Source organism: Homo sapiens, chromosome 5, assembly GCF_000001405.40.
Source record: "Homo sapiens chromosome 5, GRCh38.p14 Primary Assembly".
Taxonomy (NCBI): domain Eukaryota; kingdom Metazoa; phylum Chordata; class Mammalia; order Primates; family Hominidae; genus Homo; species Homo sapiens.
Genome location: NC_000005.10, coordinates 96,308,226 through 96,326,927, shown reverse-complemented (window position 1 = coordinate 96,326,927; position 18,702 = coordinate 96,308,226). Strand labels below are relative to the sequence as shown.

Sequence of the window (18,702 nt, the reverse complement as noted above, 5' to 3'; positions counted from 1 at the left end):
CAGACGGATAAAAACACTGGTTAAGTAACAAATTGGCCCCTGACATTTGAATCAGTGTTGAAACCTAAAATAAGTATAACATCATAAATCATAGAAGAATAGAACTTGGTGAAATCTCAAGTGATCATGAACTCTATTCATAATCATTCAATTAACACACTCACTGAGAATCTGCTGTGTGCCAGATAATGCGACAGATGCTGAAGACAAAAAAAAAAAAAAAAAAAAAAAATGAAAAGCCATAGTTCCTGCCTTTGAGTAATTTACATTTTTAAAGGAAATACAGGCCTGCAAACAAACAATGGCAATACCGTTAACAAGTATAATAATGAGGTACGTACAAATTAAAGAGGGGGCCCAGTGAAGAGAATGATCAACAGTTTGGGGTTCCAAAAAAGCTTTCTAGAAAAAGATGCTTGAGCTGGGTCTTAAAGTAGGAATAGGAGTTTGACAGATAAAATTATGTGGGAATGATACTCCAAGAAAAGAAGAGGAGAACATTCAAAGCCATGGGATATAAAAACACATGTAATGGGGACCTGTGAATAGTTCAACATCGCTAAAGTTTAGGATGAGAGTAAGGGTAGTAGAGACATTAGACTAATGAGGCTTGTCATGGAGGACCTTGTAGGTCATTCAACGTGAGATGATATGCCATTGAAATCAGAAGGGAGATTACCACAATAGATTGGGAAAGGGTGGACTAGGAACTCAGCAAAGCAGCAGCACCAGAAGAAATGGGTTAAAGAGGAAAGGTAATAAGGGAACCAAATCAACATAAGTTAACTTAATGACTGATTAGATGAGACAGTTTGGCAGGTAATAGGGGGTGGGGAAAAGTCATGTGGATGATATCCAAGTTCTTGGTTTGGTTGGATGACTGAACGAGCAAGTTGGGTGAAAAGACAAGGTATTCCGTTGGGAATAGTTTGAGATGGTATCTGTAGCACACCGTTGGTGAATGTTCTGCAGACCCTTAGATATGTGGAGAGACTTAATGTATCATGTGGATCGCCAAGTTGGGTCTTTGTATACCCAGCCAAAACAGAAATCTACCCATTGGTGCCATCTACCCATTTGTGCCATTTTCCTCACCATGAAAGACATTGGCATTGTTAATTTATATTGCTTCTTTCTAAGAGATCGGAGGCTGGGTGCGGTGGCTCACATCTGTAATCCGAGCACCTCGGGAAGCCAAGACAGGCAGATTATTTGAGCTTAGGAGTTTGAGACCAGCCTGGACAACATGGTGAAGCCCTGTCTCCACAAAAAATACAAAACTTAGCCGGACGTGGTAGCATGCACCTGTAGTCCCAGCTACTTGGGAGGCTGAAGTGGGAGGATGGCTTGAGCCTGGGAGGTGGAGATTTCAGTGAGCTCAGATCACACCACTGCACTCCAGCCTGGGCAACAGAGCGAGTCTCCGTCTCAAAAAATAAATAAATAAATAAAATAAATAAATAAAAAAATAAAAGAAAGAAAAAGGAAGAAAGAAAAGAAAGAAGGAAAGAAAGAGAGAAAGAAAGAAAAGAAAGAAAGAAAGAAAGAAGAAAGAAAAGAAAGAAAGATTGATTGATTGCTTGGAGCTGATTTTACATCCCAAATTTATTTATATGCCTGCAAATAAGCATGCATAGGAATTCTCTAACTCTCTTTTTTAATAGAGATTCTAGTCTTCAGCTTTAGTTTCCTACCAATCAACCATTTTATTTTATTTTATTTTTGAGACAGGCTCTCACTCTGTCACCCAGTCTGGAGTGGAGTGGTGTGATCTCAGGTAACCGCAACCTCTACCTCCCGGGCCCAAGAATTCTCCCACCTCAGCTTCTCAGGTAACTGAGATTACAGGTGCTCACCACCATACCCAGCTAATTTTTGTATTTTTAGTAGAGACGAGGTTTCACCATGTTGGCAAGGCTAGTCTTGAACTCCTGAGCTCAAGTGATTCACCCACTTCGGCATCCCAAAGGTTTGGGATTACAGGCATGAGTCACTGTGCCTGGCAACCAATCAACCATTTCTTATACAAATATAGAAAGGATCATATGGAACAATGACCAACTTATATATAAGAACCTGTTTACTCTTGTCACTTCATAAAACTTAAGTGGAACCTGGGGAAAAAGGTAAGGGTTATAGTAGTGTACCTTGTCATGAAGAAAAAAAAAATGAGTTCTCAAATAACACACATTAAGAGACTATTTTTGTATATAAAAGCTTGACCATTTTTTAAAATGTTTAATTGGGTATCAGGTCCTTAGGGTGCAGTGTTACAATAAAAACCTTGAAAAACTAAAATACATTCATATTAATGTTTTCTCCTCATAAATGCCTTGAATTACAAATAAAGAATTACCACAAGATGAAATGAGGAGGAACATTCCTTCTATTTTAAAGACTAAAGAGTGAAGGTAGGGAGGAAATGAACTGATATGTCTCATGTGTGTCTAAGTAGGCAAGAAAGGCTAAGGGAGAATTGTTAAAGGACATTCTAATTACGATTAGGATAAAGGCCAGTTCAGCTAAGCAGTCACATCTGGCTTCTAGTGATACCATTCTACATAATGGAAATAATAAGTTAAGGTAGTAAGATTGTTGGAGTCTCTTGTGAATATTAGACGTATTTCCTCAGTGAGTCAGACTTAGAATGTCAGAGAGATCAATTTATGTGATTACAATTAATAAGGTAATTAAGAAATGGAGACAGCTCAAGAGGATATTGCCTGATAATTAATAACCAGCTGGAAAGGATAAGGGTCCTAGGGAATGGTGAATTAAATAAAGATCAGCTTGGAGAATTTCTATCAATAAGATATGGGCTATTTTTTAAGGCAGTCAGGGTTAGTATCTGAAGGCCATCTGCTAAAAAATAAAACTCTAATTAACAGGATTTTTGGAATTTCATGTCCTATAACATTTTAGAGAGGCCAGAAAGAAGGACAGAAATAGGCAGGGAGAAGGAAAGAAGAAAGAAGGTCAGAAATAGGCAAGGAGAAGGTAAAGGAGAACTGCACTGTTCATGGAAAAGAGCACGTGGTCTAGAGGGAAGGACCCAGTTCTACCTCCACCTCTGCCAGAGATGAGCTGTGTTAACCGGAAGGAAGCACTTCTCTTCAGGGCCCCTGGTTTCTTCATTTATAAAATGAGATGATTGAACTGTATAGCCTCTATGGTTCCCTGTAGCTCTGAAATTTGAATTATAAACACAGGTCCTTAACAATGACAACCCTTAAAAACTAAAAATGAACACTTGGGCCAGAACAATAAGTGGTCATTTTTGGCTATTGCTATTGACTAGATACCAACAAGCATCAAAGCTCCTGACTTTAAAGAAAAAAATTAAAAAGAAAAATATGGAAGGAATTGTCCCATTTTCTTAAGTCATGCACCTGAAAATAGCAATGAAAAATAAAGCAAGGGACTATGGTTTATTTTTCTTTGCAGCTCCCGATACTTGTAACCAGATAATTTATGGTTACAGGAGGTCTAGCTACAACTATTGACAAAATACCCCTTGTCATAAGAAACAACATAAAGCATTCACCTCAAAGCTCAATCCCCTCAGTGACAATGTTCTCTGGAAACCAAAGCTTAAAAATCCCTGTAACTTGTTAAACTAGGAATTGTCCTTGCTAATCAGACACTCTGGTGGTTAGGTAAAAACATCTTTGAAAAAAGGCACCAAATGTGTTATGTACACAGAGACAAGTGACAGAACAGACAGCTGCTTGCTGGGACCTCAATTTACCTCCCACTTCTCCAAAAGGCTTCAATACCTGAACATCGACTGAAGTTTCTAGGCTGAAGTTTACACAAATGGAACTGAAGGGTCAGAGCAGAGAGTTGCAAAAGTCAATTTTCCTCAGGCCAAAAAGCAAGGTAGGCAGGTTAAGCAGGGAGGGGACAAAAGCCTTCATGCCACCGTATACTCACCCAGAACAAAACAAAAGCAACATGTGGGAAGAATAATGGCAGAAGTAAGGGAAGAGTCCCTTTCTCCTCCTTATAAGCCCACCATACTGGGAGAATGCAATGTAAGGGTGAAGAAAGCAGCTACCTCTGGTTTCTACCATCATCAGTGTAGTAGTGGAGTTGGGGGAAAGCATTTTACAAAATCTAGTAATTTTCTGATATGTTGAGGCAATGTGGGGTTATTTAGAACTTGAATATAAAGATATCAGAAGCTGCGGCAGGAAAACACGCAACTGAGAGAAACAAAAAAGCAAACAATGGGGTCTCTTTCAAAGTTTCTGCCCCTGTCCCCTTGTTCTCCTCTGGGCCAGAAGCTCCTGCACATTTGGGTGGATGGGAAGGCCTGAAACATCTAATTGCTGGGCCCTTCCCAAGGGTCTCAGATGGCATGTTCTCTCTTCTCCACAAGCACCTAGGCACCAGAAAAGCTGCATAAGAATGAACAGCAAGGCATTTTCAAAGGGGAAAACAAGAGTCATTCAGTGACAGGCAGCTTGTCAAGCAGGTGTAAATAGATAAGGGCTGTGGCTCCCGGTTGGAGAGGGATGATGGGCAGGCTGTGAGGCAGGAGGTAAAGTTCATTGTTGGTGTCCCTACAAATGACCGTAGCACTTTCCTCACCTCTGGCAAGGCTCTCTTCTCTGGGATTCCTTACACAGCGTACCAGCCTCTGTAGCACCCTCAGGGCCAACCAAGCAGCCTCCCAAAATGTAGCTGAAGAATCACAATTCCCAACTCTGAGGTTCTACTTGTATTCTTGTTTCCCAAGTTAAGCAGTGATGTAAATTCCAAGAGTAGACCACCAAATAAATTGGGCACACCAGATAAAATAGACTCCCTTCTATGGATACTGCACATCAAAGGGAACCCATTCTTTCAGGCCCCAAGGAGTAGAAGAATTATTTTGGCAATAGACAGTTTGAAAGGATTGTAGTTTGTGATTAATTATTTAAATCCCAAGTATTTAACCTAAGACATCCAGATAGGTAATCAGTGAATAAAGCTCTTGTTGGGTTTGTGTCATTTTGTTTAACAAAGCAGTTTACTTGGAGAAGGGAGATACCATAGCATGGCATTATACAGAAATAATAACAATGGACCTGAAGTCACCTAGAAGAGCAGCCATGATAAATAGAGTTAAATATACTCACCAGGACATCTGTATGTCATGCTTACATTTTTCTTTATAACTCAAACGTTTTATAATGTGGAAAGAGTAACAAGCTAAGAATTCAAATCTAGCTTCCAGTTCAAGCTCTGTCACTAGCCAGTTATGTGATCTTGGGCAATTTGCCTCCTTGGGACTCAGTTTTCTTACCTATAAAATGAGGACACTGGTGACTTGTAAAATTCCTTCAAGAGCCAATTAATGGCCCAATAATCTTGGACCATGATTATAAGAATGCTCTTTTAGAAGAAAAGAACATTCCAGTCTGGTCAGAAATTTCAAGACAACCATCCAGACACACTTTGCCAATTATTCATCACTATGACACTTTGAGCCTAAGAAGGCAGCAGTATTAATGTGTCAGAATATGCAATACTGTTTTATGAGTTTGCAGGCTCTAACAAAGTGGTTATCAACCAGAAGCCATTCTCACTGCCTCAGGCAGGAGACACCAGTCAATGTCTGGAGACATTTTTGGTTGTCACAGTTGGAGTGGGGTTGGGGTGTAAGAGGCTGAGGAGTGGGAGGATGTTACTGGCATCTAGAAAGTGGAGGCCAGGGCTGCTTTTAAACATCCTATAACGCACAGGACAGTCTCCACCACAAAAAATTATCTGGTCCCAAATGTCACTAGGGCCGAGGTGGAGCTCTATGAATATAATGGCTAGGCAGATAGCTGAGTGATGAAACAGGTAGGTAACCTGGAGAGATAAGCACTCTCACCTTTACCAGGCTGTGCCCATGTAAGGATGAGGACCTGCTGCTGCAATCCTCCATTTCCTCCTGTCATCAATCTAGATTTTGTAGGAACTCATCTGACTTCTGAATCATGGCGACGACTCACCAATTATTTTAACATATTAAATTTCTGGGGGAAGGGGGACTATCAGATTCAGACTGCAGGCTGCTGGTGTGCCACCTCTGTTTTAAGTCTTAGATGGCAGACACCCAACTGCATCCCCCTAGCCTGCAAGAGAAATTGTTCAAAGGAAACATGGCCACTTGAACTATTCTGCAATTCTATGAGGTTAAATAGTTTTTCAGGGGCAAGGGACTGTCTATTGTACAACTAGGAAAAACATGCAGTGAGTGATGAGGAGCAGCAAGTTAAATGTGTTTTTCTTATTCAATCTTGAATTTAGCCTATATTCAGGTTTTGTTTATGTTAATGCCAACTTGATTTTCTCTTCCTTTAAGTCAGATTTAATCCAGGAGCCCCAGTGCTGCTCAGAGGAAATCAAGCAAAAGCCGACCGGGCACGGTGACTCACGCCTGTAATCCCAACACTTTGGGAGGCTGAGGCGGGCGGATCACCTGAGGTCAGGAGCTCAAGACCAGCCTGGCCAACATGGTGAAACCCCATCTCTACTAAAAATACAAAAATTGGCCGGGTGTGGTGGCAGGCGCCTATAATCCCAGCTACTCGGGAGGCTTAGGCAGGAGAATTGCTCGAACCCAGGAGGCAGAGGTTGCAGTGAGCTGAGATCATGCCATTGCACTCCAGTCTGGGAACCTGGGCAAAAATTCCATCTCAAAAAAAAAAAAAAAAAAAAAAAAAAGCAAAAGCCTTTCCAAAAGAGGCCACAGCCTTTTTAATGAGCTGTCAGTCTCAGCTGCTTTGAATGCTGTAACTTTCTTAGGAGGAGTAGTTACTGCAGAGCCCTCATGTTTCACCAGGGCATGAAATGTGAAGGCTCCAGAAACATTTGTTTTTCAGCAGGGCGACACAGGGATTCAACAGATCTCTGCTATGAGGAGCCTGGTTAGATATGAAGGGGTGTCAACACCTTTCCTCACTACTTCCTTTTGGGATCTTTGCTATGCCTAGTAGTGAGGAAAGGTGTTGACACCTCTTCATATCTAACTAGGCTCCTCACTGGTATCATTAATTAAAAACCACCCGGCTGGCCCTGGACTTCTCACTGCTCATTGATGGAAATTTTATCTGGCCTTTTTCTAGGTTCAGACACCTGACTTGGACAGCAGACACTCACTTTAGAGCACCTGGCATGGACTTTCTCAAATAACTAAATAGTGATTCCGTTTTCTATCACCTAATATCATCTGGAAGTTCTAGAACCCAAAAGTGAGGTTGCTTACTGGTAACTTTGAAGAGAAGGTAACAATACATTATGGTTTCTAAAGCACTTTCAGCTCATCTCACATTGTTTTCACATCTATTGTGACTGTGATACACAGAGCACGCCTGTGAAGTCTGTAGGATTGGTCTTACTATTCACATTTCATTGATAGCACAACTAACCTATATAACAACCCATGGGGAAGGTAGTGTAGCATAGATTATGGAGCAGATTGCCTGGGTTCAAATCCCTGGGTTCAAAGTTGTTTCTTATCAACTGTACAAGCTTGGACAAGTTTATTTTTCTGTGTTTCATTTTCATCATCTGCAAAATGAGAATAATAGCATTTACCTGATATGGTTTGGATGTGCATCCCCTCCCAGTCTCATGTTGAAATGTGATCCCCAATGTTGCAGATGGAGCTTGGTGGGAGGTGTTTTGGTCACGGAGGCAGATTCCTTGTGAATGTCTTGGTGCTGTTCTTGAAGTAATGAGTGATTTCTCACTCTGTTAGTTCACATGAGAGTTAGTTGTTTAACAGAGCCTGGCATCTCTCTTGCTCCCTCTCTTGCCATGTGACATGCCTGCTTCCCCTTCACCTTCTGCCATAATTATAAGCTTCCTGAGGCCTCATAAGAAGTCAAACAGATGCTGGTGCCATGCTTCTACAGCCTGCAGAACCATGAGCCAAATAAATGTCTTTTCTTTATAAATTACCCAGTCTTAGGTATTCCTTTATAGCAATGCAAAATGTACTAACACACTACCTCATAGGGTTGTCATGAGACTTAAAAGAGTAAATATATATGTAAAGTACTTAGGAAATGGCCTGGCACAAAGTAAACACTGTAGCATTAACTACTAATGTCATTTTCCAGAAGAGGAAACCAAACTACTAGATATTCCTGGCAGTCTGACAGCTGGGAACAGACTCAACCATTTTACTGTCACTCAATGAAGAAATCAACAAGCAAAGTGCGGAGTGATATGTCAGTTGCCCATCATGCAAGGGGGACATTGAGAATTTGAAACCTTGGTCCCTTGACTTCAGATGCAGTGTCTTTCCATCTCACCATGTGGCCTTGGGTATGATAGCATGCCTGGGAGAACAAGCAATGAAGGTGTAAAGATGTATGCAACACAGCAACTTGTTATATCTTACTTTGAACAGTACCAAGAAAGCCTTCATGGAGTGCTGAAGTATATGAAGACTATGGCCCTCTGGAACCAAAAGCTGTGGGAGCAAGAATAAAATTAATCAGTCCAGAAACACAGTTCCTGAAAACTTGTGGAGCTATCACCATTATCTCTGAAATGTGTGTGCCAATACATCGGCAAAAAGCATTCACTTCCCATAGAAGGTTCTTTGAGTTCGGTTAAACATACCAGGCTGAGCTGGAAGTGAAAATAATTGCCTACTCCAGCACTGGAGAGTTTCAAATACATAGCAACTTGCTGGGTGTCCAGAAATTGATCACTTCATCATCCAGCAATCCAGCCAGGGGAGCAATTGCTCCAGTAGGAAGGTTAACAGGCAAGAAAATGAATCAGCGTCTTATGGTTACAAATATGTTTTTGCTGCTCTCACTACAAATTGCTGTGATTTTTTTTTAAGTTCAGATGCCTAGATATTTTACTGCTCAGGCTATCAAGCCATTGAGCTATTGTTACAACAACTGACCACGCCATGATAGCATTATCATAGCTGTTTTTCTGTTGTTGTGTGGTCAGCATTATGGATTGGGAATAAATTTGAGCTATTTGCTGATCTGCTTTCCAGGATGCAGCATTATTGGCTCTGAAGGAGCTTTAGCTTTGTAGTCTGTGGATGCATATTGAGAATAATATCAGGGTGCAGATGTTACCAAACCTTTATATGTTTGGTTTGTTTCCTAAAAAAACACCCATAAGATCCTCCAAGGGGCCCACCTCAGTTAAGCTAGGAATTCACTCAGCCTATTAATATACTAAAATGCCAAGTCAGGGCTTCTCTGATTGTTGCTGCATGCAATAGGATGTGACAGTTTTTAGAAGTGGCTTGTTTAAAAGCTTTGCACTTCCTTGGAAGAAGGGTTCATGTAATATGACTAAATAATTATTATGATCATCATACATATTCATCAGATAAAATTATTTTTCAAGTATATACAGAACAAAATATGCTAGGTTTTAAGGTTTTCATTCTAAAATAGGATGACACCATTCTTTTTTTTTTTTTTTTTTTTTTTTTGAGATGGAGTCTCACTCTGTTGCCCAGGCTTGAATGCAGTGGCATGATCTCAGCTCACTGCAACCTCTGCCTCCTGGGCTCAAGCGATTCTCCTGCCTCAGCCTCCCTAGTAGTTGGGACTACAGGAGTGCACCACCATGCCCAGCTAATTTTTTTTTTTTTTTTTTGTATTTTTGGTACAGACACAGTTTCACCATGTTGCCCAGGCTGGTCTCAAACTCCTGGGCTCAAGTGATCCACCTGCCTTGGCCTCCCAAAGTGCTAGGATTACAGGCATGAGCCACCACACCTGGCCAGGATGACACCTTTATAATGTACGTGTGACTTGCTTTAAATAAACCAGTAGTTTTCTGAAATGTCAAATGTGTGTGGTAATGTTCAAGCTGGACAAGTATCTCCTTCGGTGTATGTTATCTAACTAGTATCTTTTATACAGAGGCCTTGCTCACTCAAACCTAGTCTCTCTTTAGGTACCAAGAACATAACTAGATAATCTTTTAAGGCCAACCATTCCCAGTTCAACATTCCATTCAACATTATCTACACAGAGATCTTATGTGTAATATTCGGAAAACAAAAGACTTAATTTGAGAAGAGCCAGAGTAAAACTAGAAACAGATTTACTTGGCAATTAAGTTAGATAAATATCAGTAATTACAGCATATATAACCCAGGTGTGGTCTTATTTCATCTTTCCTCTCAAAGGAATTAGTATAGTCTTTTGGCCCTGGGTGGCTTAGGTCAGAGTCCTCTTCTTGCATCATTATCCTTTGGGATTCCTGATGACACTCTCTGTGGGGGTTCTCAGATTCTGGCTGCATTCTCTCACGGTTCCCCTCTACCTTTAGAAAGTTTCTTTGTTACAACATGTTCAGCTGTTGGTGCTTTCAACCTGACTTTTTGATCTCCTCTGCACATTTAAGCAGGGCTTTATCTGATGCTGACAGTTTTGCCGTGCTTCCCATGGTAACATTCTCTGCATCTAGTCCCAGGTTTGCACATCTTATTGTGGTTCCCCTGCCTCTTAGATTAGGTCTCAGACATACCTCACAATCTTTCTCAGCTGGGCTACAGAACATCTCCTGGCATCTGGGGAGTTTAGGACAAGAGGACAGAGAAGATGTGACTCTGGACTCCTAGCTATGCTTCAGCTCAGGCAGCTTGACTTTGAGCTCTATTATATATTGCATTCTAGGTAAGATTTCTTTCTAAGCAAGATTTTCTTGGCAAACAAGCAAATGGAGAAGTTTACATACTAAAATGATGGCAAGTACTTCTTTCTTAAGTCACCATGTGGTCAGGGAAACTTCTGTTTATATTCACTATTCTGGTTACCTATTACTATGTTACAAAGCCATACAAAAATTGGCAGCTTAAACAGACAAGCATTTAATTATATCTCCAGATGTCATGGGTCAGAAATTCAGAGAAGGCTCAGGCTCAGCTGGGTGGGTTTTGTTTTTCTCTGCGTGGCTTGAAGGAGTTCACTTGGGGGTACTCAACCCTTAGGTGGTCTGAATGGTCCACAACAGCTTCTCTCTCATGTCACTTGATGGTGACAGCAGGAAGTCTGGGCTCAGCTGGATCTGTCAACCCAAAGTGCCTACATGTGACTACTCCAGCATGGCCATCTCAGGAAAGCTGGACTTCTTATATGGAGGCTCAGAGATCTCAAAAATAGTGTTCTAAGAAACAGAAAGTGAAAACCTACAGATATTTAGGGCCTGGGCTCAGAAAACTGGCACAGTGTCACTTCTGCTATTATTCCATTGGTCAAAGCAGTTACAGAGCCCATCCACATTCAAAGGGAAGGCAATAGACCTCTACCAAAAATAGTAGCAAAGAATTTGTGGCTATCTTTAATCTACCATAGTTACAGACCTTTAAATGGTGCCATCTTTGACCCAAATGACCATATGGTCAGTGACTTCACCACTCCCACTTCTCTTTCTGATCTCAGTTTCTGGTCTTGCTCTCTACCCTGGCAAAGATGATCATGCTGCTGAGTTGACATATACTGACCAGTCTAAGGAATCATGGCCTCACATTGTTCACTATACATTTCTGAACTGGCTTCCAAGAGCACTGTCTGTATTCCCTATCAGTCCTTCCACTCTGTGAAGTGCAGAGGTTTCCCTTTGGCTACGGTTGTCATATAAAAGAAGGTGTATGTAGTTAAACTTGAACTTCAGATAAACAACAAACTTTTTTATTATTATAAGAATGTCTCAAATATTGCATGGGACATACTTATACTAAACAATTGTTTAATCCCACAGTCCTAATATTTTGCTGACATGATTAAAGCAATTACTTATACCCGTATCACAGTTTAACAATGGAGACAAGAGTCACAGAATTATTTTAATTCTTTGACTTTTCTTTCCCATAACATGTGGTTTATAATCACACTGATTGCGTGAGGGTGAGAGGAATCCAGTCCTGAGATCAATCAAATCTTATGATCACCACTTTGCCTAAATATATTAATATATAAATGGCTTCTACTAAATAAACTTTCTTGTTTAGCAAATGCTTCTATCATTCCTTTTTGAAGTTAAAGAAAACCTCTGCATTTAAATGTAGCTATATTGCAAATTTAAAGGGTCAGTCAAAAGTATTTATTGAGTGTGTACTTTATGTTAAGTCAGTAACGATCAGCATGTGCTTCTTGACTGGGAGGAGTTCAGCGTCTAGGAAGGATACAGAAATGTGAACAGGTTATCACAGAGCAACGTAATAGGACTTAAAACAAGAAAAGGGTTCAGCAGGTATGACTTAAAAGGCTTAGGGAATTTGACATCATAAAGGAGGTAATATTTGGTCTGATCTTGAAGAACAAGTAAGAATTACCCAGGCAGAAAAGGAAGCCAAAGTCATTCTCAGCAGAAAACAAAAACAAATAAACAAACTTGTACAAATGAACAGTCATGAAGGATCCTGCCATGTTTGTGTAGCAGAGAAGGCTCTTGGTCTAGTCAAAGCTGGAGAAGAGGCACTGGAGCCCCATTTGCTCAGCTTCACCTATGCTACAAATACATAGAAAGGATGAGGTTCCTAATTCATCCCAACATTTAGCAACAGCAAGAGGAAGCCTAACAAAAGCAAGTGATCACAAGGCCCAACAAATAATCAAAATAAAGGCAACAGGAAAGATGCCCAACTTCAGCAAGGATGAAAAGAAAATTGGTGCTGTAGCTCCCACAACTTTAATTCTCCTCTCACTATGGCAAAAGTCAATTTTCTACATGAGACTGGCTTGGAAAATTACAGAAAATAATTTACAAGTTTTCAGTTTTAGAGATAATCAGCAAAATATTTCTCTGACCCACTGTGTGAAGAAATGAGCAAAAACTCTTCTAACAATTCCATTAGAAATCCTATGATAGCAAGGTCCCAAACAAGCTAGAAAGCAGGTTCCTATGCATACAGAAGCCATGTATATTTGGGTACTGCATACTTGTAATTTAGGATTAATGATAGTTCAGTGGTCCAAAATGGACAGGAAAACATGGTGAAGAGCCAAGACTCAATGATAACAAAACAGCAGAAACATCTTTTTGATGTCTGATACACCTTCAATTATTTGATGTTTTTCATAACTGATTTTATAAACCTAATTATTAAAACTTGAAAGACAAAATGAGGTATCATGACACACCTATTGGAATGGCTCAAAATTAAAAAAAAAATCTGACAGTGCCAAATGCTGAAGAGAATGCAAACCAACTTGAATGTTTATATATTGCTGGTGGGATTTCCACATTGGGAAAATGTTTGGCAGTTTATAAAGTGAAGGTTACATGAAGGTATTTACCCTGGAGAACTAAAAGCCTATGTCCACATAAAAACCTGCATATGGATGTTTAAGTAATCTTATTCATAAATGCTTAAAGTTGGAAACAACCCAAAATGTCTATCAACTGGTGAATAAATTGTTATATCTATATAGCAATAAAAAGAACTACTGATACACACAACAGCATGGATGAATCTAAGAAGCATTATGCTAAGTGGAAGAAGCCAGACTCAGAAGAATACATATTGAATGATTCAATTTATATGATATTTGGAAAAGAAAAAAACTATGAGACACAAATCTGATCAGTGGTTGCCAGTGTCTGGAAGTGGAGGAGGCAGATTGACTCCTACAAAGGGTCATGAGGAAATAAATCTATATCTTGATTTTGGTGATTGTTACCTGACTGTATAAATTTGCCAAAATTCATTGAATTGTACACATAAACACAGTGAATTTTATTGTATATAAATTATATCTTAAAACAAAATAAACTTTTATGTCTAAGACAGAAAAAAACTTGAGTTGAAGAAAGCAGTATCTTGATTTTTTGTTTGATTATGGTTTGACCATTTTCACTACTGAAGGCTTTTGATCTTTATCCTTTTGTTGGCAATAATTTATATCCTATATATCCAGTGGTAGACTTGAACGTCAATCAACCATTTTCAGCCAGTTTTGAGAGAATTAAGCCCTAATAACTACAACATCCATAGTATGTAATGAACAAATGTCTCGTCTCTGAAGCTAGAGAGGTCCTAGTTATGTACCATCTTTGAGAAAACTGAGGAAAAGGTCACTTAAGTTATTTTCTATGTTTTATGGTTTAGATGAGGAACTCTGATTGAACTTATAGCTAATGTAGATTAAACTAGTAAAAAGAGAACACTTAGGCATATTAGCACAATGTAGGCAAGTAACTATGTTTTTGAGCACTTTTTCATTTTATGAAGTAATTCTGAATACTACAAAGGGAAAATATGGAAAGATTGCTTTTACTAGTTTGTGTCTGCACCAGCTGTTTTTGCTTTCTTATTTAGAACACTAAATAGTTTCAAACTACTAACACTAAGTAGTTTCAAACCACAAAACCAAGACTAATTCACCAGGGCAGTCAGCCTTACCTCTCAAAAACACATTTCTTATCTTCCTTGTTTTGACAGCCTTGGTGTTGGGATGTAAAATTCCTGAGGTGTTCCCTAAATAGACAGGGGAGTGCTTCTTTCAGGAATAGCTAATTTGAGTCAATAAAATGTTTGTCAAAGGGGAAGGAAAAAAATCAGGGGGTCTCAAGAAATACAACACAGGGGTAACCCTTAGACTAATTTTCTACTGTGAAATCTGAGGTATCTTAGAGGACATCTGGCACTAAGTTTACACCAGGTACTCATAAAAGGAGAGCCTGTAGAGAAAATTAACTTTAAAATTCATCTAGCTGTAAATTCAGACATCCAAAACATAAAATGGAGCAATGGGAGAGTAAAAGTGTAAGGTTGTTGTGTGCAATCAAATTTGAGTTGTTATCATCTTGAAATAAACTGTTATAAGATGTTGTGTGTAAGCCTCATGGTAACCAGAAAGCAAAAATCTGTAGGAGACAAACAAAACAAAAATAAAAAAAGATTCAAAACATATTACTACAGAAAACCATCAAGCCACAAAGAAAGACAGCAAGAGAGAAAAAAAGAAACAAAGTATCTACAAAACAACCAGAAAACAATTAACAAAATTGCAGTAATAATAAGTCCTTACCTATAAATAATTACCTGAATGTAAATGGATTAAATTATCCAATAAAAAGACATAGAGTGAATAAATGGATAAACAAAACCAAGACCCAATTATATGCTGCCTATAAGAAATTCACTTCACTTTTAAGGACATACTTAGATGAAAGTGGAGGGATGGAAAAATATTTCATGCAAACAGAAAAAAAAAGAATTTTTGTTTTCTAGGAATATCAATACTTATGTCAGACAAAATAAACTTTAAGTTAAAAACTAAAAAGAGACAAAGAAGGATATTATGTGATGATAAACTGGTGATTTCATCAAGAAGATTAAACAATTATAAATATATATATGCATATGCACCCAACAGTGGAACACCTAAATATATAAAACAAATATTAAGACTATTTAGAGAGATATAGATTGCAATACAGTAATAATATGAGACTTCAATACAACACTTTTCATAATGGACATGTGGAAACATTGGACTTGAACAACACTTTAGAATAAATGACCTAACAGGCATATACAGAACATTCCATCCAACAGCAACAGAATACACATTTTTCTCAAGTGCACATAGAACACTCTCCAGGATAGGTAATATGTTAGGCCACAAGACAAGTCTTAGCAAATTTAAGATTAAAACCATATCAAGTATCTTTCTGATCGCAATAAAAGAAGAAATTAATAACAGAAGGAATCTAGGAAAACTCATTAATATATGAAATGAAACAACATGTTCCTGAAAAACCAATGAATCAACAAAGAAATTAAAAGAGAAATTTAAGAACATCTTGAGACAAACAAAAATAGAGACACAACATATAAAAATGTATGGGATGCAGCAAAAGCAGTTGTAAGAGGAAACTTCATAGCAATAAATGCCTACATCATAAAAGAAGAAAGGTAGCAAAAAAACAACAATGTTGTGCCCCAAGGAAATAGAAAAAGAAGAACAAAGTAATCTCAATGTTATGTAAAGGAAAGAAATAATACATATCAGAGCAGAAATAAATAAAATAGAAGTTAGAAATACAATACAAAAGATCAACACAAATAGAAGTTGGGGCTTTTTTTTTTTTGAGAAGACATAATTTACAAACCTTTGGCTAGACTAACCAAGAGAAAAAGAGAAAAGATTCAAATAAACAAAACCAGAAATGAAAGAGGAGATATTATGACTGATACTACAAAAATACAAAGGATCAAAAGAACAATTATATGCCAAAAAATTAGATAACTGAGAAGAAATGGTTAAATTCCTAGACACATACAACCTCCAAACACTGAATCATAAAGAAATAGGAAATCTGAATAAACCAATAATGAGTTAAGAGATTAAGTCAGTAATCCATAGTCTCCCATTTAAAAAAAAAAAAGCCTAAGACCTGATTGCTTCACTGCTGAATTTAACCAAACGTTTAAAGAATAACTAATGTCAATTCTCCACAAACTTTTACAAAAAATTAGAGGAAGGAATATTTTCAGACCTATTTATGAGGCTAGCATGGTTCTGATACCAAAGCCAGACAAAGACATCATAAGAAAAGAAAGCTACCAGAAAATATTTTTGATTAACATCAGTGCAAAAGTCCTCATCACAATAGCAGCAAACAAAATTCAACTACACATTAAAAGGATCACACACCATGATCAAGTGAGACTTATTCCTGGGATGTAAGGATGATTCAACACTCACAAACCAATAAATGTGATAGACTACATTAACAGAATGAGGGACAGAAAATTATATAATCATGTCATCAGATGAAGGAGTCATTTGACAAGATTTTTCATGATGTTCTTTCATGATAAAAACACTCAACAAATTAGCTATGGAATAACAGTAATTCAACACAGTAAAGATGATATGTAAGAAACTCATGGCTAACATTATACTCAATGGTGAAAAACTGGAACCCTTTCCTCTAGAATCTAGTACAAGACAAGCATGCTCACTCTCACCACTTACATTCAACAGTTTGGAAGTCCTTGCAGACCAATAAAGTAAGAGAAAGAATTAAAAGGCATCCAAAAGATGGCCGAATAGGAACAGCTCCGGTCTGTAGCTCCCAGCAAGATCAACGCAGAAGGCGGGTGATTTCTGCATTTCAAACTGAGGTACCCAGTTCATCTCAATGGGACTGGTTGGACAGTGGGTGTAGCCCACAGAAGGTGAGCTGAAGCAGGGTGGGGCATCACCTTACCCTAGAAGCACAAGGGGTCAGGGAATTCTCTCCCCTACCCAAAGGAAGCTGTGAGAGACTGTACTGGGAGGAACAGTACACTCCGGCTCAGATACTGTGCTTTTTCCATGGTCTTCCTAACCAGCAGACCAGGAGATTCCCTACGGTGCCTATGCCACCAGGGCCCTGGGTTTCAAGCACAAAACTAGGAGGCCATTTGGGCAGACACCGAACTAGGTGCAGGAATTTTTATTCATGCCCCAGTGGCATCTGGAATGCTAGTGATACAGAATCGTTCACTCCCCTGGAAAGAGGGCTGAAGCCAGGGAGCCAAGTGGTCTGGCTTGGCAGGTCCCACCCCTATGGGGCCCAGCAAGCTAAGATCCACTGGCTTGAAATTCTCACTGCCAGCACAGCAGTCTGAGCTTGAACTGGGCCACTCAAGCTTGGTGGGGAGAAGGGTATCCACCATTGCTGAGGCTTGAGTAGGCGGTTTTACCCTCACATTGTAAACAAAGCCGCCAAGAAGTTCGAACTGGGCGGAGCCCACTGCAGCTCAGCAAGGTAGCTCAGACTGTCTCTCTATACTCCTCCTCTCTGGGCAGTGCATCTCTGAAACAAAGGCAGCAGCCCCAGTCAGGGACTTATAGATAAAAGCCCCATCTCCCTGGGACAAAGCATCTGGGGGAAGGGGTGGCTGTGGGCACAGCTTCAGCAGACTTAAATATTCCTGCCTGACAGCTCTGAAGAAAGCAGTGGACATCCTAGCACAGTGTTCGAGCTATGATAAGGGACAGACTGCCTCCTCAAGTGGGTCCCTGACCCCCGTGTATCCTGACTGGGAAACACCTCTCAGTAGGGGCCGACACTCACCTCATACAGGAGAACTCTGCCTGGCATCTAGTGAGTGCCCCTCTGGGACAAAGCTTCCAGAGGAAGGAACAGGCAGCAATCTTTGTTGTTTTGCAGCGTCCGCTAGTGATACCCAGGCAAACAGGGTCTGGAGTGCACCTCCAGCAAACTCCAGCAGACCTGCAGCAGAGAGGCCTGACTGTTAGAAGGAAAACTAACAAACAGAAGGAAAAGTATCAGCATCAACAAAAAGGACTTCCAATCAGAGACCTCATCCAAAGGTCACCAACATCAAAGATCAAAGGTAGACAAATCCATGAAGATGGGGAGAAACCAGCGCAAAAAGGCTGAAAATTCCAAAAACCAGAACGCCTCCTCTCCCGCAAAGGATCACAACTCCTCTCCAGCAAGGGAACAAAACTGGACAAAGAATGAGTTTGATGAATTGACAGAAGTAGGCTTCAGAAGGTGGGTAATAACAATTCCCCAGAGCTAAAGGAGCATGTTCTAACCCAATGCAAGGAAGCTAAAAACCTCAGAAAAAAGGTTAGATGTATTGCTAACTAGAATAACCAGTGTAGAGAAGAACATAAATGACCTGATGAAGCTGAAAAACACAGCACGAGAACTTCATGAAGTATGCAGAGGTATCAATAGCCGAATTGACCAAGCAGAAGA

At 39.5% G+C, this 18,702-nt stretch overlaps 1 protein-coding gene and 1 long non-coding RNA gene across 13 annotated transcripts in view; both read right to left on the bottom strand.

Annotated features, from left to right (window-relative positions):
* The window catches only part of CAST (calpastatin), an 813,255-nt gene that overhangs the window by 447,756 nt on the left and 346,797 nt on the right, over nucleotides 1–18,702 (bottom strand). For 6 of the 12 annotated variants that reach the window (NR_186779.1, NM_001423250.1, NM_001423258.1 and 3 more), the window contains one exon: nucleotides 8,384–8,455. The exons of 5 other annotated variants lie outside the window; for them this stretch is intronic. The gene's annotated coding sequence lies outside the window, so the exon portion shown is untranslated. Of the gene's footprint in view, nucleotides 1–7,572; nucleotides 7,894–8,383; nucleotides 8,456–18,702 lie in introns of all 12 variants that reach the window. One more of the 12 variants, NM_001423251.1, reaches the window with a different exon arrangement.
* LOC101929710 (uncharacterized) overlaps nucleotides 1–18,702 on the bottom strand; it is a 669,085-nt gene that overhangs the window by 304,158 nt on the left and 346,225 nt on the right. Inside the window, exons 2-3 of the long non-coding RNA NR_130776.1 lie at nucleotides 18,046–18,204; nucleotides 8,384–8,455 (exon numbers count right to left, since the gene is read on the bottom strand). This is a non-coding gene — a long non-coding RNA (uncharacterized LOC101929710). The remainder of the gene's footprint in view (nucleotides 1–8,383; nucleotides 8,456–18,045; nucleotides 18,205–18,702) is intronic.